This window comes from Homo sapiens, chromosome X (genome assembly GCF_000001405.40).
Source record: "Homo sapiens chromosome X, GRCh38.p14 Primary Assembly".
Taxonomy (NCBI): Eukaryota; Metazoa; Chordata; class Mammalia; order Primates; family Hominidae; genus Homo; species Homo sapiens.
The window spans coordinates 131423836-131447400 of NC_000023.11; the positions used below are offsets into that span (position 1 = coordinate 131423836).

At 39.4% G+C, this 23565-nt stretch overlaps 2 pseudogenes, besides 1 other annotated feature; one reads left to right on the top strand and one right to left on the bottom strand.

Moving 5' to 3' along the window:
* Window positions 467-1407, top strand: OR1AA1P (olfactory receptor family 1 subfamily AA member 1 pseudogene; annotated as a pseudogene).
* LOC100421910 (olfactory receptor family 8 subfamily U member 3 pseudogene) lies at window positions 13229-13855 on the bottom strand (annotated as a pseudogene).
* Window positions 17200-17494: an enhancer, noted in NCBI's record as "tiled region #3295; HepG2 Activating DNase matched - State 9:DNaseU". NCBI's record gives its function as "activates a minimal TATA promoter and a strong SV40 promoter by Sharpr-MPRA in HepG2 cells {active_cell/tissue: HepG2}" and the evidence as "EXISTENCE:reporter gene assay evidence [ECO:0000049][PMID:27701403]".

The following is a 23565-nucleotide window of genomic DNA, read 5'->3' on the forward strand; positions in this document are numbered from 1 at the left end:
CTATTTGTGCAGTAATAGCTAAAATGCAGGCCTGGGCATTTTACACGTGTCCTTGCAATGCTCACAAAACTCCTGTAAAGTAGATATTCTCCACACTTTAAAATTGATTAAATAGCCTTAGAAAAGCACAGATAACAATGTCATGAAGATAGTGAGCTATAATTCCAGAATATTCTTTTTTTCATTTATTCACTCGTTCTTGTATAAATCAATCAATATTTATTGATCACCTACTATGTGACAGGCACTGTCTTTAGTACTAATGTACAGCACTGAACATAAAAGATAAAATCCATGCCCTTATGCAACTTGTATTTTAGTAGGGGGATAATATGACCCAAGAGTTTCTGGTTCCAAGGCCTCATTCTGTTCTATAAGGTAGTATAATACACTGATAGGCTTTCATGTCATGTTACCATTTTACAATGAAGTTGAACTTTTTCCCCTTTTAGACACAGCAGAACCATGCACCAAGGAAATTGAACTACTGTCTCTAAATTCTTTCTCCTGGGAATCACAACAAAGCCTAAAGAGCAGCAGTTTATCTTCATGCTGTTTCTATGCACGTATCTGGTCACTATGGTAAGAAATTTACTTATCATCCTGGCCGTTGTCAGTGATGCTCACCTCCATGGCCCCATATATTTCTTCCTTGCCAATCTATCTTTCACTAACGTCTGCATCACAACCACTACAGTCCCCAAAATCTTGGCAGATATTCAAAGCCAGAATTCAACCATATCCTTTGAAGGATGCCCTGCACAAATGTAGTTTTAAATATTCCTGGTGGATCTGGATAATTTCCTATTGGTAGACATGGCATATAATTGATACATTGCCATCTGTCACCCATTACACTATATGTGGTAGTACTGAGTCCCAAGAACTGTGCCCTGTTGGTTGTGACTCCATGGGTTATCTCCAACCTTGTCTCAATACTGCATCTCAGTCTGCTAAGCCACTTAACTTTCTGTGATTTCACATATCTTCTATGACCTGGAACCCATTTTAGGGCTTGCTTGCTCAGACACCCAAATCAACAACTTGATAATTACTGCCATTGGGGAAGTAGTTATCTTCATCCCCTTTACCTTCACATTCTTGTCTCCTATGGCCTTATTGGCAGCACTATGCTTGGAGTTCCATCAGCCAAGGGGAAGTAGAAAACATTCTCTACATGTGGTTCCCATCTCTCAGTTGTGCCCCAGGTCTTCTATGGGTTCATCATTGGAGTCTACTTTCTCTCCTTTTTTGCCTACTCAGCAGAAAGGGATGAGGTAGCTGCTATCATGTATACAACTGTAACTCACTTGATCAAATCATTTATCTGTAGTCTAAGGAACGAGGACATGAAAGGAGCACTGAGGAGACCACTCAGCAGACAAGGTTTTTCTGGAGTGGTGAGCCCTGCCATAGAGATTCTCGTATTAACCTTTTAGATTTGGATGAGCACAGAGAGGATCCAGAGTCTTAGGCTAGTGTGCTTCCTTGGCAGTTTCCTTCCCATCCATTTCCTGCCCCTAATCCAGACCCAAGACTCTAGATCAGACTCATTTTCCCATTTAAAAAACACAACAACAAAACAAAACAAAATGCTCCTTTATTTCACAGTCTTCACCACTCACATACAGAACTTTCCCTGAATAAGCACATGGTTGTATCGTGCTTAACAATTGTTCTCTATTTTTTAGTTTCTGTCTCCTCCCTCTACCAAACCCTACATGCTAGATTATAGATAAAGAAAGAAGGAAGGAAAGAAAAAAGGAAGGGAGGAACTGATGGTGATATCTCAAAATAGCTTTTAGATAATACCATGTCAAAGTTCACAACTTCCAACCTATAACTTAATTCTCACAATAACACTTTAAAGTAAATATTATACTGTTCCCACATACTAGGCAAGAAAAATGATGTACTAGAAGAATAAAAAATTAAGGTGAAAACAGTCATGTCACTTGTCTTACTCTGAGCCCTACTGAGGCTCCCCACCAAAGTCAAAGTTCTTCAGCATTGAAGATCCTCTATCACTTGGACCCACCTATATTTTCAGGAGTATGAATCATCACTCACTAACTCCCACCATCCTTGGTACATCCTACTTTCTAGCTACACTGAACGCTTTGTCATTCCTTGAGCAGTCTATGAATTTGCTATGAATTTTTAGTCTACATGTTATGTCCAGTCCCTGTTCCACTCTCTCTTCCTACAGACATTCAACACTTTCTTTAAGGCTCCATCTCAAGTGTTACATCCTCTGTGAATTCTTCCATAATTCTCACATCTTTCTAGGTAAAATTACTTACTTTTCTCCTCTATAGCACTTTACTTTGTTATTATATAGCTTAGCAAATGAATTATAATTATCACGATATGTATGGTGCTATCCAACATGCCCTGAGCTGTTTTGGGGAATGATGCAGAACTATGTTTTATTAATCTCTGTGGTTCTAGTCTGAGTATAATGCTGAGAACAGAGTGGGTGCTCAGTAAGATAAATTGAATTAAAAAGTTACCATTTTTCAGAATGAAAATATTAGCTTCCTTCAGAATGAAAATATTAGTTTCATTGCCTATCTGTTAAGTTATCCTAGATGAGTAATTAATGTCACTGTCCCACTGATATAATCCATGACTTAGTTATACTAACATCTGCCTCCCAGCTGCCCCCATTGGCCATATATCTAGGACACTCTGGGGTTAAAACCTTTTGAGACAGGAGGCTAAAAAAGTGACATACTGGGTAGGTACAAGGAGTCCAAAATAATCAAGAGGGACAAAGAAAATAAGTTACAAAACATACACAAGAATAGAAGGGCTTGAGGTACATAAGGATTTTTGTATGACTATGGAAGTTAAGGCATGATACCAGGGCCCTTTTATGCCATATCTGTATAATATCCTAATGTTTGGTCATGGAGGATGTTTTAGGCTATTCATGCACCTGGTACCACAAAGACATATCCCACTGAGTTATACTGCCCAGGTTGAAAGAACCTGGCTCATTGTTTATGACATCTTTCAGGGCTGGATTCAGGGTTTTGTGATTATACAGGCACCACATTGGGTCTACCCAGTGCTACTCAAAGTGTAGTTTGCAGACCTACTCCAACCACACAACTATTTGTTACTGGCCAATAGAGATATTAGGTGTGACATAAGTTTAGAAACTGAGACTGAGCATTTAGAAACAGAGAGATTTCACTTTCCCTGAAATTTTTATTTTATAAAAGCATTCATCTATGAAAACTTGAAAATTTTAAAAAGCTAGTCATCTCATACAATTAGAGAAACACTGGATGATTCTTCTATTTCTTCTTCTCCTCCTCCTCTTTCTCCTCCTTCTTCTTTTTCTTGTCCTTCTCCTCCTCCTTCTCTCCTCCTCCTTCTCTCCTCCTCCTCCTTCTCTCCTCCTCCTCCTTCTCTCCTCCCCCTCCTTCTCTCCTCCTCCTCTCTCCTCCTCCTGCTTCTCTCCTCCTCCTCCTTCTCTCCTCCTCCTCCTTTTCTCCTCCTCCTCCTCCTTCCTCCTTCTCATCCTTCTCCTTTGTCTTCTTCAAGATAAAATCTTAAGCAGGACTCTGCCTTATGAATGAGTTTTTAGCTAATTCAATCAGGATTTGATATTGCTTAGTTAATTTTAAAAGTCAACTAAAGCAAAGAGTCATTAAACCTCCTTACACACATACCGTTAATACTTTTTTCAGAATATGCTATCTTGACTTACTCCATGTAAAGTTATATTCCTTAGCTAATCTTTGGATGTAGGGCCAAGACCTTTTCCTTGACTATGGGTCAACTGATTGAGTTCTGCATAACCATTTCTACATAAATCCCCCCCATAATATATTATTCAAAATGCATCAGCTTTGGCTTCCAGTTTCAATGTTTTAACAAGGGAAGCAAGAACTTAAAGACAATCACAAAGCAAGCTAAATGTTTAATCCTCCTTAGGTAGTTTTCAACTTTGTCTTCAATCTTTCACATCTAATTTAATACAATATTTTTAGTGACCTGCCTATTTTGAGTCTTTTCAATGCATGCAACTGTTTTCATAGAAATGACTTTCTTTCGTCTTCATATTTTATTGTTTCATATAATTTTAATTAAACTTAATTTAGGTTTAATTAAACTTATGGGGGGTGGCTGGCTATACGGCTGAATAGGAACAGCTCTGGTCTGCAGCGAGATCAATACAGAAGGTGAGTGATTTCTGCATTTCCTACTGAGGTACTCGGCTCATCTCATTGGGACTGGTTAGACAGTGGGTGCAGCCCACAGAGGGCAAGCTGAAGCAGGGTGGGGTGTCCCCTCACCTGGGAAGCACAACGGGTCAGGGAATTCCTTCCCCTAGCCAAGGGAAGCCATGAGGGACTGTGCCATGAGGAATGGTGCATTCCAGCCCAGATACTACACTTTTCCCATGGTCTTCACAAACTGCAGACCAGGAGATTCCCTCAGGTGCCTACACCACTAGGGCCCTGGTTTTCAGGCACAAAACTGGGTGGCCTTTTGGGCAGACACTGAGCTAGCTGCAGGAGTTTTTTTCATACCCCAGTGGCGCCTGGAATGCCAACAAGACAGAACCGTTCACTCCCCCGGAAAGGGGGCTGAAGCCAGGGAGCCAAGTGGTCTAGCTCAGCAGATTCCATCCCTATGGAGCCTAGCAAGCTAAGATCCACTGGATTGAAATTCTCGCTGCCACCACAGCAGTCTGAAGTCGACCTGGGATGCTGGAGCTTGGTGGGGGGAGGGGTGACCTCCATTACTGAGGCTTGAGTAGGAGGTTTTCCCCTCACAGTGTAAAAAAAGCCAACAGGAAGTTCGAACTGGGTGGAGCCCATCACAGCTTGGCAAAGCCACTGTAGCCAGACTGCCTCTCTAGATTCCTCCTCTCTGGGCAGGGCATCCCTGAAGGAAAGGCAGCAGCCCCAGTCAGGGGCTTATAGATAAGACTCCCATCTCCCTGGGACAGAGCACCTGGGGCAAGGGGCGGCTGAGGGCACAGCTTCAGCAGACTTAAATGTTCCTGCCTGCTGGCACTGAAGAGGGAAGTGGATCTCCCAGCACAGTGCTTGAGCTCTGCTAAGGGACAGACTGCCTCCTCAAGTGGGTCCCTGACTCCCGTGACTCCTGACTGGGAGACAGCTCACATCAGGGGTCGACAGACACCTCATAGAGGAGAGCTCTGGCTGGCATCTGGCGGGTACCCCTCTGGAACGAAGCTTTCAAAGGGAGGAACAAGCAGCAGTCTTTGCTGTTCTGCAGGCTCCGCTGGTGATATCCAGGCCAACAGTGTCTGGAGTGGACCTCCAGTAAACTCCAGCAGACCAGCAGCAGAGGGGCCTGACTGTTAGAAGGAAAACTAACAAACAGAAAGGAATAGTACCAACATCAACAAAAATGATGTCCACACGAAAAGCTCATATGAAGGTCACCAACATCAAAGACCAAAGGTAGATAAATCCATGAAGATGAGGAAAAACCAGTGCAAAAAGGCTGAAAATTCCAAAAACGAGAATGCCTCTCTTCCTCCAAACGATCACAACTCCTCGCCAGCAAGGAAACAAAACTGGACAGAGAATGAGCTTGACGAATTCACAGAAGTAGGCTTCCGAAGGTGGGTAATAACAAATTCCTCTGAGCTAAAGGATCGTGTTCTAACCCAATGCAAGGAAGCTAAGAACCTTGAAAAAAAGGTTAGAGGAACTGCTAACTAGAATAACCACTTTAGAGAAGAACATAAATGACCTGATGGAGCTGAAGAATACAGCACGAGGACTTCGTGAAGCATAAACAAGTATCAATAGCCAAATCGATCAAGTGGAAGAAAGGATGTCAGAGATTGAAAATCAACTTAAGGAAATAAAGCATGAAGACAAGATTAGAGAAAAAATAATGAAAAAGAATGAATAAAGCCTCCAAGAAATTTGGGACTGTGAAAAGACCAAACCTACGTTTGATTTGCGTACCTGTAAGTGATGGAGGGAATGGAACCAAGTTGGAAAACACTCTCCAGGATATTATCCAGGAGAACTTCCCCAACCTAGCAAGACAGGCCAACATTCAAATTCAGGAAATACAGAGAACACCACAAATATACTCCTCGAGAAGAGCAACCCCAAGACACATAATCGTCAGATTCACCAAGGCTGAAATGAAGGAAAAAATGTTAAGGGCAGCCAGAGAGAAAGGTCGGGTTAACCACAAAGTGAAGCCCATCAGACTAACAGCAGATCTCTCTGCAGAAACCCTACAAGCCAGAAGAGAGTGGGGGGCAATATTCAACGTTTTTTTAAAAAGAATTTTCAACCCAGGATTTCATATCCAGCCAAACTAAGCTTCATAAGTGAAGGAGAAATAAAATCCTTTACAGACAAGCAAATGCTGAGAGATTTTGTCACCACCAGGCCTGCCTTACAAAAGCTCCTGAAGGAAGCACTAAATATGGAAAGGAAAAACCGGTACCAGCCACTGCAAAAACCTACCAAATTGTAAAGACCATCAACACTACGAAGAAACTCCATCAACTAACAGCATCCTAATGACAGGATCAAATTCACACATAAAAATATTACCCTTAAATGTAAATGAGCTAAGTGTCCCAGTTAAAAGACACAGACTGGCAAACTGGATAGAGTCAAGGCCCATTGGTGTGCTGTATTCAGGGGACCCATCTCACATGCAAAGACACACTTAGGCTCAAAATAAAGGGAAGGAGGAATATATGCCAAGCAAATGAAAAGGAAAAAAAAACACAACAGGGGTTGCAATACTAGTCTCTGATAAAACAGACTTTAAACCAAGAAAGATCAAAAAAGACAAAGAAGGGCATTACGTAATGGTAAAGGGATCAATGCAACAAGAAGAATTAACTATCATAAATATGTATGCACCCAATACAGGAGCACCCAGATTCATAAAGCAAGTTCTTAGAGACATACAAAGAGACTTAGACTCCCACACAATAATAGTGGGAGACTTTAACACCCCACTGTCAATAATGGACAGATCAATGAGACAGAAAATTAACAAAGGTATTCAGGACTTGAGCTCAGCTCTGGACCAAGCAGACCTAATAGACATCTACAGAACTCCTCACCCCAAATCAACAGAATATACATTCTTCTCAGCATCACATCACACTTATTCTAAAGTTGACCACATAGTTGGAAGTACATCACTCCTCAGCAAATGCAAAAGAACAGAAATCATAACAAACAGTCTCTCAGACCACAGTGCAATCAAATTAGAACTCAGGATTAAGAAACTCACTCAAAACCGCACAACTACATGGAAACTGAACAACCTGCTCCTGAATGACTACTGGGCACAGAACGAAATAAAGGCAGAAATAAATAAGTTCTTTGAAACTGATGAGAACAAAGACACAATGTACAAGAATCTCTGGGACACAGCTAAAGCAGGGTTTAGAGGGAAATTTATAGCATTAAATGCCCACAGGAGGAAGCAGGAAAGCTATAAAATTGAAACCTTAACATCACAATTAAAAGAACAAGAGAAACAAGAGCAAAGAAATTCAAAAGCTAGCACAAGATGAGAAATAACTAAGATCAGAGCAGAACTGAAGGAGATAGAGACATGAAAAACTCTTCAAAAAAATCAATGAATCCAGGAGATGTTTTATTGAAAAGATTAACAAAATGGATAGACCATTAGCCAGACTAATAAAGAAGAAAAAAGAGAAGAATCAAATAGATACCAAAAAATATGATAAAGAGATATCACCACTGATCCCACAGAAATACAAACTACCATCACAGAATAGTATAAACACCTCTATAAAAATAAACTAGAAAATCTAGAAGAAATGGATAAATTCCTGGACACATACACCCTCCCAAGACTAAACCAGGAAGAATTAGAAACCCTGAATAGACCAATAACAAGTTCTGAAATTGACACAGTAATTAGTAGCCTATCAACCAAAAAAAGCCCAGGACCAGAAGGATTCACAGCCGAATTCTACCAGAGGTACAAAGAGGAGCTGGTACCATTCCTTCTGAAACTATTCCAATCAATAGAAAAAGAGGGAATCCTCCCTCACTCATTTTATGAGGCCAGCATCATCCAGATACCAAAACCTGGCAGAGACACAACAAAATAAGAAAATTTCAGGCCAATATCCCTGATGAACATCAATGCGAAAATCGTCAATAAAAAACTGGCAAGCCAAATCCAGCAGCACATCAAAAACCTTATCCACCACGATCAAGTCGGCTTCATCCCTGGGAAGCAAGGCTGGTTCAATATACACAAATCAATAAATGTAATCAATCACAAAAACAGAACTAATAACAAAAATTACATGATTATCTCAATAGATGTAGAAAAGGCCTTCAATAAAATTCAACAGCCCTTCATGCTAAAAACTCTCAATAAACTAGGTATTGATGGAATGTATCTCAAAATAATAAGAGCTATTTATGACAAACCCACAGCCAAGATCATACTGAGTGGGCAAAAGCTGGAAGCATTCCCTTTGAACACAGGCACAAGACAAGGATGCCCTCTCTCACTACTCCTGTTCAACATAGTATTAGAAGTTCTGGCCAGGGCAATCAGGCAAGAGAAAGTAATAAAGGGCATTTAAATAGGAAGAGAGGAAGTCAAATTGTCTCTGTTTGCAGATGACATGGTTGTATATTTAGAAAACCCTATCGTCTCAGCCCCAAATCTCTTAAAGCTGATAAGTAACTTCAGCAAAATCTCAGGATACAAAATCAACATTCAAAACTCACAAGCATTCCTATACGCCAATAATAGACAAACAGAGAGCCAAATCTTGAGTGAATTCCCATTCACAATTGCTACAAAGAGAATAAAATACCTAGGAATCCAACTTACAAGGGATGTGAAGGACCTCTTCAAGGAGAACTACAAACCACTGCTCAAGGAAATAAGGACACAAACAAATGGAACAACATTCCGTGCTCATGGATAGGAAGAATCAATATCGTGAAAATGGCCATACTGCCCAAAGTAATTTATAGATTCAATGCTATCCCCATCAAGCTACCATTGACCTTCTTCACACAATTAGAAAAAACTACTTTAAATTTCATATGGAACCAAAAAAGAGCCCATATAGCCAAGAAAATCCTAAGAATCCTAAGCAAACAGAACAAAGCTGGAGGCATCACAGTACCTGACTTCAAACTATACAAGGCTACAGTAACCAAAACAGCATGGCACTGGTACCAAGACAGAGATATAGACCAATGGAACAGAACAGAGGCCTCAGAAATAGCTCCACACATCTACAACCATCTGATCTTTGACAAACCTGACAAAAACAAGAAATGGGGAAAGGATTCCCTATGTAATAAATGGTGTTGGGAAAACTGGCTAGCCATATGCAGAAAACTGAAACTGGACCCCTTCCTACACCTTATACAAAAATTAACTCAAGATGGCTTAAAGATTTAAACCTAAGACCCAAAACCGTAAAAACCCTAGAAGAAAACCTAGGCAATACCATTCAGGACATAAGCATGGACAAAGACTTCATGACTAAAACACCAAAAGCAATGACAACAAAAGCCAAAATTGACAAATGGGATCTAATTAAACTAAAGAGCTTCTGCACAGCAAAAGAAACTATCATCAGAGTGAATAGGCAGCCTACAGAATGGGAGAAAATTTTTGCAATCTATCCATCTGACAAAGGGCTAACATCCAGAATCTATAAGGAACTTAAACAAATTTACAAGGAAAAAAAACCTGTCAAAAAGTGGGCAAAGGATATGAACAGAGACTTCTCAAAAGAAGACATTTATGTGGCCAAACAAACATGAAAAAAAGCTCATCATCACTGCTCATTAGAGAAATGCAAGTCAAAATCACAATGAGATACCATCTCACGCCCGTTAGAAGGGTGATCTTTATAAAGTCAGGAAATAACAGATGCTGGAGAGGATGTGGAGAAATAGGAATGCTTTTACACTGTTGGTGGGAGTGTAAATTAGTTCAACCATCGTGGAAGACAGTGTGGTGATTCCTCAAGGATCTAGAACCAGAAATACCATTTGATCCAGCAATCCCATTACTGGGTATATACCCAAAGGATTATAAATCATTCTACTATAAAGACACAGGCACACATATGTTTATTGCAGCAGTATTAACAATAGCAAAGACTTGGAACCAACCCAAATGCCCATCAATGATAGATGGATAAAGAAAATGTGGCACATATACTCCATGGAATACTATGCAGCCATAAAAAAGGATGAGTTCGTGTCCTTTGCAGGGACATGGATGAAGCTGGAAACCATCATTCTCAGCAAACTAACACAGGAACAGAAAACCAAACACCACATGTTCTCCCTCATAAGTGGGAGTTGAACAATGAGAACGCATGGACACAAGGAGGGGAACATCACACACTGGGACCTGTTGGAAGGTGGGGGGCTAGGGGAGGGATAGCATTAGGAGAAATACCTAATGTAGATGACGGGTTGATGGGTGCAGCAAACCACCATGGCATGTGTATACCTATGTAACAAAACTGCACATTCTGCACATGTATCCCAGAACTTAAAGTATAATATTAAAAAATAAATAAATAAATTTTAAAAAATAAAATAAAATTATGATTAAAAAACAAATGCAAGTAACAAAAACAGGTTTTGGGAAAAACACAATTGTTACTTTGTAAAGTAAGACAGGATTGGTGGCATAGGACCATAATGATGTGGGCATATTAGAGGATAGCCAACGGGCTGGACGCAGTGGCTCATGCTTTTAATCCCAGCAATTTGGGAGGCTGAGGTGGGATGATTGCTTGAAGCAAGAGTTCGAGACCAGTCTGGGCAACATGATGAGACCCCATAGCTACAAAAAATAATAAAAAAAAAATAGCCAGGTGTGGTGGCAGACACCTATGGTCCCAGATACTTGGGAGGCTGAGGTGGGAGGATTGCTTGAGCCCAGGAAGTCAGGGCTGCAGTGAGCTGTAATCATGCCACTGCACTCCAGCCTGGGCAACATGGCAAGTCCCTGTCTCAGAAGAGAGAGAGAGACTAGCCAACTAGTTACAATTATTCACTGGGGTATTGCCACTGGCCTGAAAATTTTTCACAGAGAATGGATAGTGTCTTTAATTTAGAGCGTTTACATGAAGCTCAGTTAAGGGAAAAGTTAGTGCATATTAAAAAGATAGAAGCAGAGCTGTTGTGATTAAACCTGAGGGAAGGGACCTGGGCGCCTGCCCTTTAGTCTACTCCTCACTTTAACTTTGGTCATATGTAGAAATTTGGTCTCTAATAGGATGCAAGAATTTATAGTAGTGATGACTACAGGTTGCCCATGCCCTAAGGAAGATCTCCTCTCCTCCCTAGCCCCTTCTGAACTACTCAAGATTCTTGTTGTAGGACAAACATATGCAGTTTCTAAACTCACTTACCAAGTTGATGACAGACAAGCAAAAATAAAGGTATACAAAAAAAGGAAGTAAAGAGGTGGACTGTTGCCATGCCAAGAAAATAAGATTTCAGTTCCCAGGACCTATCATAAGGCCAGAAGAGGCCAGAGCAGATCGTGTTCAGCCTAAGATGTCGGTGAGATGACAGAAAATCCTTTTCTGTAGTGCCTGTATTGCAAATGAAAATACCAAAGAAAAGGCCCTGCCTCTATGCTGCTGATTTTGCCATTTTGGAGGGAAGGGAGCATTTCTGAACATGTGGCTTCCAGAAGACAGAGACTATATCTTCTTCATTTCTGAGGCCCTACTTTCCATCCCGGACCTTTTCACAGAGTAGGGGCTAAAACTACTTATGAAATGAATGAATAAAAATTTGCCCTTAAGTCCAAGATCTTGGGCAGAATTATGCCTGATCTGGGATTTTAGATAAATCAATCACCTGATCCCAAAATATCTGGATCTTCAGTAGATCTGATTGCATATTCCATAGCCAGAACAAATTCATTTATAGATTAAGCCAACAGTTGCCTACAGCATGTAATTTGAGATTCCTCAAAAATATAAAAAAGAAACATGTGACATACTTATGCGATTTTGTATGAAGAAATGAGGAAACTCGATGCCTTTATTACAGGTGTATCTGCTCATGATGCTCTCAACACCAGATAAGGAAGATAGCTCTTGTCCCTGAGAGCTTACAGTGTAATGTAGTCTTCTATACACCATTTAGCAACCAAAGAAAGAAACACATAAATACATTGAAAAATGAATGATGCTTTTGCATTTTGAATGAGAACAGAATGAAATGCCTAATGGAAATTATGGAGAAGCAGTTTTTGTAGGGTAAATTGATAGACACAGTATCTGACAGACCTGGTTTTAATTCTTAATTCTTTATTTCTCAATCCAATTTTTACCTGTATGACCTAGGGCAAATCATTTCATTTATTTGGTCCTCAATTTCTACATGTGAAAAGTGAGGTTAGTAATAACTATCTCAATGATTTGTTTTATAGGCTAAGTAAAATATTGGGTATAAAGTGCCTGTCACATAATACATTCTTATTACGTGTGAGCTTCCCTCTCTGTTTCCTTCCTTTCTTCTTTACATGTTTAGATGCTGAAGGTCCAAAAGGACATTACCTATATTGCAAGTCATCTGGAAGTTTACCTCAAGAAGGATAGGGATTTAAAACGCTGTCCAAAAGAAGTAAAGAAAATAATTTGAAAATAAATACAGATGTGGAAAAAACTAAAAGAGTATGAGAATTCAAAGGAAAATTTCAGTTCAAAGTAATTTACTTATGTATCAAACATTTTAAAAAATAATGTTTCTTAAGCATCTTCTTGTGTAGTTCTTATGAAGACTGGCCTTGAACTTTATAAAGGAGCATTTTCTTTCTTTTTTTTGGGTTTTGAATTTTTTTATTATTATACTTTAAGTTCTAGGGTACATGTGCACAACGTGCAGGTTTGTTACATATGTATACATATGCCATGTTGGTGTGCTGCACCCATTAACTCGTCATTTAGCATTAGGTATATCTCCTAATGCTATCCTTCCACCCTCCCCCAACCCCACAACAGGCCCTGGTGTGTGATGTTCCCCTTCCTGTGTCCAAGTGTTCTCATTGTTCAATTCCCACCTATGAGTGAGAACACGCGGTGTTTGGTTTTTTGTCCTTGCGATAATTTGCTGAGAATGATGGTTTCCAGCTTCATCCATGTCCCTACAAAGGACATGAACTCATCAAAAGGAGCATTTTCAAGAAAACAAATCACTTGCATTTTTATTAAACAATAGATAATGGGGCTTAACAAAAGAATTCTTACCATGTAGAAAATGGATACAGTCTGGTCTTGGTTCAGAAAATAGTTGGAAGAATGTCACATATATAAATATAATGTCCCCATAGAAGAGAATGATAGCAGTTAGATGTGAAGAAAAAGCAAGAAAACCTTTAGATTCAACTACAACTGAGAAGATCCTCAAGAAAGTGACAATGATGAACATGTGGGAGACAAGGATGACTGGTCAAGAGCTCATCCAAATGAAGCACCCAGTGAAAAAGAACAAAGAATTCATTATGTAGGTGTCTGAGCAGGAGAGGACCAAGAGTGGGAAACTGTCACCAAAAAAGCTGATGATGGTTTGAACTTACAAAAGGCAAATATAGAGATTGAACCTCCTAAAAACATAGTATGGATAACTCCATGCCCGTAACATGAAGCCACTAATTGGATACAACAAACTTGGGACATAGTGACAGGATAGAGCATGGGTTGTCTGATTGGCATATAAATGTCCTTGCCCAGGGAGGCTAAAAGATTGCATTCAGTAGTCACAAAGAACAAAAATACCAGCATTTGTATCACATAATAGGAGAAGGAAATTGTCTCTGCCAAAAATTTCACCACTGCCTTGGAGACTGTGGCTGGGAACAAACAGAAATGTCTGAAGATAATTTTTCAACCCCCACTCTCTCAACACCCTCCCCCATTTTGGAGTCACCAGTGTCTATTATTTCCATTTTATGTCCATGTGTACCCATTGTTTAGCTCCTTGAATCCATAATAGAACATATATTTTGAAATATAATAATATAATTTCAAAAAAACTAAAAAATAAATCTATGAAGGATAAACTTTAGAGGACAAAGTACATGGTGGTATGGAAATGGGACTAACTCTGATAAAGATCAGGAAGCCAGTTTCTTACAAACAGGACTGCATAACTATTCATAACAGCAAAGACATGGCATCAACCCAAATGCCCATCAATGATAGACTGGATAAAGAAAATGTGGTAAATATACACCATGGAATACTATGCAGCCATAAAAAGGAACAAGATCATGTCCTTTGCAGGGACGTGGATGGAGCTGGAAGCCATTATCCTCAGCAAACTAACACAGGAACAGAAAACCAAACACCATGTGTTCTCACTTATAAGTGGGAACTAAACAATGAGAACACATGGACACAGAGAGGGGAACAATGCACACTGGGGTCTGGGCAGAGGCAGGGGAAGGAAGATAATCAGGATAAATAGCTAATGCATGCGGGGCTTAATACCTAAGTGATGGGTTAATAGGTGCAGCAAACCACCATGGCACGTTTACCTATGTAACAAATCTGCGTGTACTGCACATGTATCCCAGAACTTAAAAGAAAATAAATTTTTTAAAACAAAGAAAAATAAAAGTCATCTTAGTGCACAGTTATACAGGAGGCATAGTCATTAAAATTTTGGCAACAAATGATCGAAGAATACAACTCATAAGAGAGTATATATAAGAACGCAGAAATGCTCTGCATTTCTACAGCAGTAAATTTCAATGTTTCTAGACATGAAAAATACTTTCTCTTTTTTCTTTTTGAGACAGGATCTCACTCTGTCACCCAGGCTGGATTACAGTGCAGCCTCGACTTCCAGGGTTCAAATGATCCTTTCTCCTCAGTCACCTGAGTAGCTGGGACTACAGGCGCTCATGACCACACCCAGCTAATTTTAAAAAATTATTTTTTGTAGAAATGCAGCCGCACCATGATGCCCAAGTTCGTCTTGAACTCTTGAGCTCAAGGGATTCTCCCACAGAAAAATAACTGCATATACCAAGACAAATGCCCAAAGGGGATCACTTGTATTTGTGGATCGTATGTGATTCCAGATGAAACAAATTTTGTCATCAAATTTTATTAGCAAACTGTGATTCTTTAGTGCATCCCTGATCACAACTGCCGCATCTTATTAGCTCAACAGAAGAATGTTCCATTGGTAAAAATAACAACAGTTAGAATTTCTGTACACACACAGTAGTCAGTGGAGATATGGAGTTATTACCTTGGAATATGGAGTGTTAAATACAAGAATGCAAGTCTTTATTTTTAGAAGCCTGGAACACAGACCTTCCTTCAGATCTCATCCGGGAAAACAGTGATTAACCTGGTATGTGACGTCAGCCAGATCATTTCATTGTCCCAATACATTAACTCCATAGCCTCTCACTACTCCTACATAGAACATTGCCTGATATTTTGTATGCAGTAGATGCTTTGAGACATTTTCATACTCTTTAGTTATGCAACAACTTTGAAGAAAATAACCCAAAAAATAACCCAAAAGAAAGAAATAGTGTTTAGAACAAAAGCATTAGTTGTGAAGGTCACTGCATTTTCTATATTTTGTATAGAAATACACTGTATTTTGTATATTTCAGTATGTAGTTACGAGTGTTTGGCTTCTGAAGTTCATTAACTCATTCTATGACCTAGGACCTTGGCTACGCCACGCAATGTTTTATAAACTGATGACACAGGTATGAAATATATAATTCCTGTCCTGAATGAGCCCACAGGTTAAACGTGAAGATAGTCTCAATACAGGGTAAGAAGTACATGTAGGGAACTGAGTACTGAGTCCAGATAAACGCTGAATACATCTACAGCTCCTGGGTGGGACTTTGGGACCCAGTGACTTAAGACTCCTCAAGATCTCAAGCTGACATTCTCAGTGCTTTGGAAGGTACCATTTTGAGACAAAGTATTATATCTGCTAATTCAACAATACCATAGAATTGAAATTCCCAATGTCCTCTAAGATCTTGTCTCACTTTGCTTTCCTAGACAGTCAGTACCCTACTTACTTATGCTGACATCTTACACTTTCCAAAGATGCGAACTTGCTTAAAATTAGGCATTTCTTGCACACCCAAAGAAAGTGTCCTTCAAGCACTCAGCACTCACTTGTGTGCTTTTTTAGTAATAAAGGCAGTGATAGGAACACAAAGCAATGGAGATGAACCAATAATCCAGGACAGAGAAATTGCTTACATTCCCGGGAGGGGAGCACAAAACTAAGAAAAAAATATATATATGTTCACTTTACATTTCACAGTCATTAAAGAAATTTTTGCTAATACTATCAAGGCAGGTCAATTAATTTAAACATGCCATTGAAAATGGTATTTTATAATGTTATTTGAAATGAAGGAGATAAAAATGCTTGATCTGAAACCTTACATGTCAATTACAGAAAGCTCACCTTAGACTCTAGTATTTACAAGAGAAGTTCTTAACCATGGTTTCTCATCTGAATCTCATATGTTGATAGTGGAAACCCATGCAAAATCCACTTAGCCAGAACCTCTGCATGTAGGCCCTCATCACATGCTTTTTTGGTTTGAGAGGTAATCAACTTTATTGAAGTATAATTATCATCTAAAAATGCACCCGATTTAAGTGAAAGTTCAAGGAGCAGGGACAAATATATACGCAACTAAATATAGAACTATTTCCACAACCCCAGAAAGTTCTCTTCTGTCCCATTCGAGTCAATTCATCCCATTTTTGGTCCTAGACAGTCACTGATCTGCTGTCTGTAACTATAAATCAGTTTGCCTCAAATTTCATATCAGTGAATGAATTCATATAGTACCTAGTACGTATGATCTTTTAAAGTATCCATGAGTGATTCTGATGGAGTCAATGTTGGGAACCACTGATATAGAGGCTCCATAAAGGACAGAATGAAAGATGACCATCATCAGCTGAATATAAACCAAAAGGTTTAGATTCTAGAGCATGTGTTTAAATCATGCTTACAAAATTCCTATAGTTCAAAACTGAGGTCCATGAAAATTTTTTGGATGAAGATTAAGATTGATATTAAATTACAGTTTGGAATCCTGTTACATGTCTATAGCTACATAGCTAAGTGAAACACTTGTCTCTCAGATCCATTGTCAAATCCAAAATCCCCCTCTTTTAAATTTTGCCTCAAAGTGAAGTTAACCAGATACCAAAACATATTATTTAGCAGTGTGAGTCTACAGTGTGAAAGAGGAATGAGGACTGGGGCTGAGGAAGCATTTTAATAAACTTGACCATGAATACCATAATAGGGCTTATTGGCATAACCTGAATCAGTACGTATGTACACAAGGCCAATGACTCATTGTTATGGAGCAATGGTCTGGACTTTGCCACTATTTTCATGACTGCCTTCTCCTTTGTTCTCAAGATTCTCCATTTGCAAAATAAGGAGCTTAAACCATATACTTTCAAAGGCGGCCTCTGACCTCAACATTCTAGGGTTCTATTTTAGTGAATTTGTCAATGAAAATATTGCTTAACACCAATGCTTAATGTTAGTCTGCAACATTTGTAAGAGTAAGCTAAACAAAAATCTCATAGGAAGAGTTTGTGTATTAAGGTTATTCCAGGATGACCACAACATTTGAGTCAGGAATAAGACCTTAAAATGGACTCTTTCTTACAGAGCTAAATGTGTTTAAACATTATGTGGTGTATTATTTTAATATTCTTTTGGGAGTGAGACAGAAAGCCAAAAAAGAAAGCCCCTGACCCAGGTCCTTCTTGTTCTCTGTTCCGAAGAGGAACCCAGTGACATCATGTCCATATCTTCAACTTTATCTGAAGAAATTGTACCATCAGGCAGTTACCTTGGCTTTACATCTTTTCCTTGTTACCATGAAAAAATAAGGAAAGGTCTACAGAAATAATGTTAGTTCAACGTTTTGAATGTGTATAGGCAATAGCATTTTTCTCTTTTCTCCATAGTGAAGCATAGTGAACCACTTACATAATAAACATTTTACACCTAAATCCAGATTAATTTAATACAGATCTTCTTAAAGTATTCAGTAATTCACTGGGCCATAAAATTTGCTTATTTAAAAAAAGTCTATGTAACCTAAAAAACTATGCCTATATTTAGGCAACCATCTCAGAGATGTGTGTTCAGAGTAAAAGAAGGGGCTAATCTAGAGAATTTGGCTAGCTTTTGGGGGAAAAAATCTCATGTGTGCTTAAGTCACAATGTAAAAAATGCATTTCAATGATAGTGGTATTACAACATTTAACTGTATTCATACTGATGAGAATATCTCACAACTATCAAAATGAAAAAAACATTTTGTGGAATACATCTCAAAAATGCTTTGTGGAAAAACAGTAAAATATGATGCCATTGAAAACTGTTGGAAATACGATAAATATTTATAAATCTAACTTGTTAGGATATTAAATACCTGAAATGCAGGGAATTCAGAAACATTTGTTGTGAAATAAGACTTCCCAAGTAAAAGGACATCAAAAATATCACGGAAGGTTAATTATAAACATGGACACCTCCCCACATGTATGGAATGTGAACCAAAAGATTAAGGGCAGTTTCCACTCATATACGAAAAAATAACAAGTCATGCATTTAAGCTTAAAGAACACCCCAATTAAAGACACAATTGAAAAACAAATGTATATATGAAGGGAAAATAAGGCCCCTAAGGAAGAGGAATTGGAAGAAGGGGCCAAGGCAAGAGGATGAAAGTGCTCGGCGCTGGTCCCAGGTAAAGTTATGACTCTGGGCAGGTGGTCTGAGGATTGCCCATTTGCAGCTCCATACCCATTTCCCTCTGACATCTCTCCCTGCCCACTCAGGCTCCTGCTCTGACCCTAGCGAAACCCTGCTTTTGGGTGAAAACCTCTAGATCATGCTCACCACAGTACAAAAACTAATCCAGCTCCATGGGCTCCTGGGAGTGGCTGGGGCTAAGCAGGGGAGAAGGGGAGGAAGATGGTGTGCCTCTTCATGGCTATCACACCAGTGAGTTCACTTAAAGGAGTCTGGTGCCCCTGGGAGAAGTTGCTGTATGATGCCTCCCCTCCCTTCCTAGATCTGAGTGGGGCTGTGCCTGGTGATGGCCCATCTCTGAAAAAAATGTACTGTTGAGAACAAACGCCAATTTTCTGGCTACGCTAATAAGAGCTAAGTGACGCAGTGGACAAAGCAATGATGCTGTTCCTGGCTCAATCTCTCTCTTCGACAATGATAATTTGCCACATCAAGTTACCTTCCCAGACACAAAGCATCAGAGGATTAGCTATTAAAAGAAAGACATTTTCTCGCTCATTACAGCCTGCAATGTAAAATGTCCAGAAATACAAGGAGTCCTGTTTTCACCATTAAAGTAGAAATTATTTCCGGCAGCTTTGGGAGAAAATGCAATTATTTTCCTTCCTGTCACAGTGTTTTCAAACTCACCTAGAGATGAGAGCACCCTATTAAAATGGACTCATTGTTCGAATGATGCCAGTGAATGCGCTTCTCTGACCTGGGGGTGGGAGACTGGCTCCTGAGTCCTCACCCCTTGGGATTCAGGGTCACTAAGGGCAGAGGTAATTAGACAGTGCTGAGCCACTGCCACTTACATGCTAGTCACAGGAAGAGGAAACTTTTCAAGGAAGAAAGTGAGCAGTTCAGGTAGAGCCCACCCATTTTGCTAATAGCCAGAGCTCACATTGCCAGTTTGCTGCAGACTTTTTTGGTTGCTCTATTCCTGGAAGTCCAGTGGCTCCCTGCCCCTTGCGAAACCTCACAGTTTGGATCTGCTTAGCCATGGGTCTTTCTCCACTTGCCTGTTGCCACAGGGAAAGAAAGACACCCCTAACTCCATCTGCACTGAAACTGAGCTCATTGGCTTTGGGCAGAGCTCTCAACCAATTTGGCTGTTAAGCAAAGTTGCTCGAGGTGGCAGGTTGCCTCCCTGCAGGGTCCACTAGACTTTGTTCTTGTCACTGGGCTGGTCACAGTCTCAGTCTCTGACCCAGGTCCACTTGCTCTCTGTTCCTAAGAGGAACCCAGTGAGATCATGTCCCTATCTCAGTACAATCTCCTTCTCCGAAGTCAACATTCTGAAGATGACTTCGGAGAATGAAGATGACTTCGGAGATGACTTCAGAATGAAGAAGAGTCAACATTCTGAAGATGACTAATTGACACCATCTGGCCTCATGAGCTATCATATCACCATCCAAGATGAATATCCAGAATAAATGAGTAAGGAGAGCCCCCCCCGCCACCACCACGTCACATACCTTCTCACTATGTTTTCACTTTAGTATTGCTTCTATAGTGCAATGGGAATTCACTGCTATAATATAAGCATACCACTGATGAACTCTGATTTATAATTATTTAAAGATTGTTCTTGTTTTGGAGTGGAAAACAGATTCAAATAGAAGGCAAGGGAAAATGAGAGCTTCAGTGGTTGGGGTATAGATAATAGTGTGAGAGAGGTAATAAGAGAGGAACATAGAGAGACGTACAAGAGAAATTTTACGTGTAAATACGCAGTGTTTGTTAACGAATTTCAAATAAGGAGTAAAGGCAAAGGAGGGTAAAAAGATGACTCCCAGTTTTCTTGCTTGAATAACTTACTTCATGAGAGTTTCCTTGACTGAGATAGGGAAGACTAAACTTGAGAACAGAGTTTGGGGGTAAATCTGGAAGTTTCATGAAGCAAATCGCTTTCTGGCCATTCCTCTCCACTCTCTCCAACTCTCTGATTTGACCTGGTAGAAATCAAATCTACCCGGTCAACCTTATCTTGTTAAGGCCAGCCAAGCACGACTCAGTGTTCACAAAGGGTAGTTCTGTATTCTTATTTTAATGTGGACCCAGCATAGACTGTGAAAGGAATCGGTTACCGTACTGGTAATTCTTATACAATGGCAAATATCTTTTTTTTTTTGAACATTTAAAAAACTATATTTACTTTTTAAAGGCAAAATGGTGACATTTTTGTATATACAAAGATAATTTGTCACCAACAGAAATATTCTGTAAAATATATTCAAGGAAGTTCTGCAAGAAGAAAAATAGCTGGAGGTCATTATCCTTGCAGACTAACACAGGAACAGAAAACCAAATACCTCTTGTTCTCATTTTTATAAGTGGGAGCTAAATGATAAGAACACATAGACACATAGAGGGGAACAACAGACATTGGGCCTATAGGAGGGTGGAGGGTAGATGGAGGGAGAGGATCAGGGAAAATAACTAATGGGTACTAGGCTTAATACCTAATAGTCTGTACAACAAACACTCCTTGATACAAGTTTACCTATGTAACAAACCAGCACATGTACCCCTGATGTTAAAATAAAAGTTTTAAAAAAGACAAATGTCTTGATGCGAAATTGAACCTACCATCCATAAATTTTCTTTTTCCTTTTCGTTCGTTCTTTCCTTCCTTCCTTCCTTCCTTCCTTCCTTCCTTCCTTCCTTCACTCCCTCCCTCCGTCCCTCCCTCCCTTCTTTCTTTTTCTTTCTTTCTTTCTTTCTTTCTTTCTTTCTTTCTTTCTTTCTTTCTTTCTCTTTCTTTCCTTCTTTCCTTCTCTCTCTCTCTCTCTCTCTCTCTCTCTCTCTCTCTCTCTCTTTCTTTCTTTCTTTCTTTCTTTCTTTCTGACAGGGTTTTGCTCTGTCACCCAGGCTGGAGTGCAGTGGTGCAATCTTGGCTTCCTGCAACTTCTGCCTCCTGGGTTCAAGTGATTATTGTGCCTCAGCCTTCTGAGTTGCTGGGATTACAGGCACGCGCCACCACACCCAGCTGCTTTTTGTATTTTTAGTAGAGATGGTGTTTTGCCATGTTGGCCAGGCTGGTCTCAAGTTCCTGGCCTCAAGCAATCCTCACGCCTTGACCTCCCAAAGTGCTGTGATTATAGGAGTGAGCCACAGTGCCTGGACCAGAAATTTTCAATTAGAAAATCACAGATGTGTAATTCATATATTTAGATGTTTGAGATTTTTCTCTTTCGATCCAGATATTTCATATCCTGTTGACCACATCTTGAGCTCACCAAAGAAACTGAAGAATTGCGTGGTCATTCTAAAGACCACTTGGTGAGGTGATGTTTTCTTCCTGGGACTCTCATATAGCAAAAGATCGGAGTTATTTGACCACCTGCTTCATTGGTGATGCAAGTGCCAGAACCTTAGGCATCTGAGAACATTATTACACTTTTCCCTGTCAAGGGAGGATTTGTCATGGCTGTCATTCTTGAAGACATGTAATAAAAATGTCATGATCTGCTTCTGTCTTAAGAGAGAGACAAAGCCTAGGTTGCCATGACACCAAACAATTTAATAACAAGTGGAAATTTCAATCAATCCATTGATCAGTCAATCCTTTCATTTCCAGAAGGAACAGACAATATATCCAGAATAATATGCCTTTTTTAATATCTTGAAAGGACAACCAAAACATTTTCATCAACTTTCCATACAATGTTACAAATCACTGAAGCAATTATCCTTCCAGTTTTTCATTTAACTGGATAGTTCAAACAAAAATGTTAATTTTGTTGAAATGAGTTGACACATGTTCTGAAATCCCCATATCACCTGACACCTCTGGGCAATTTAAGTTGCTTTCATATTTCAAGCTCATAATACTAATGGAAATCATACCTACAATAACATAGATTAACTTTCAGCCCATAAGAACACAGCTTCCCATCACTGATAAATAGGGTATAAGAATAATGACTGTAGGACATGTGTGTGAGTTGTAACTCCTGCCATGTACATTTTTTTTTGTATTGAGTCAGTCATAGACTCTTTTCATCCCTTTTGGGAAACAGTATAAATTTGTGAAATGCTTTTGTGGAGTAAGAGTAAGTTGGTGGTCGGCATAATGAATGGCTGTGATGTCAAGGCCAGGATCTGTTTGTCCACCAATCTTTCCTACTCCTAGATCAGTCTATTTATCTATTATTATATCGCTGAAAGTTGTTTGAAGCAGATTACAGAGCTAAACATAATGCAAGATACACATAAAGACATGAGTGAGGTTAATATGCAAGTTTATATAACAATCTATGTACAATGGTAAGAAATGACCCACAAATTTAGCTTGGATCTACACAGTAGCAAAAGCAAAGGGGCAAATACAATTAGAGACAAGAGCCCCAGTGTTCACAAAAGTATTATGAAACAAAATTTTCATCGGAAACAGTTTTCCTGGTATAAAATGCGGGGAGAAATTTGTGTGGTAGGTCTTTAGAAAATTGGAAAATGTGTCATAGAGAACAATCCTCAAAAGCATTCTGCCAGTAAAGTACAATAAGTAGCTAGTTTCTTGGAATCGTTTTAATGATATACTTCAGTGTAGGCTGAGAGTATATGTCAAAGGGTAATTTCATTAAAGTAATTCTAAGAAAAGACAAAATAATGTGGTCTAAATATACATCCCTCTGATGATTCAGTTTGATTGCTAAAATACAAATCTGGAGAGGCAAACGTAATATATTTCATTTAAGCT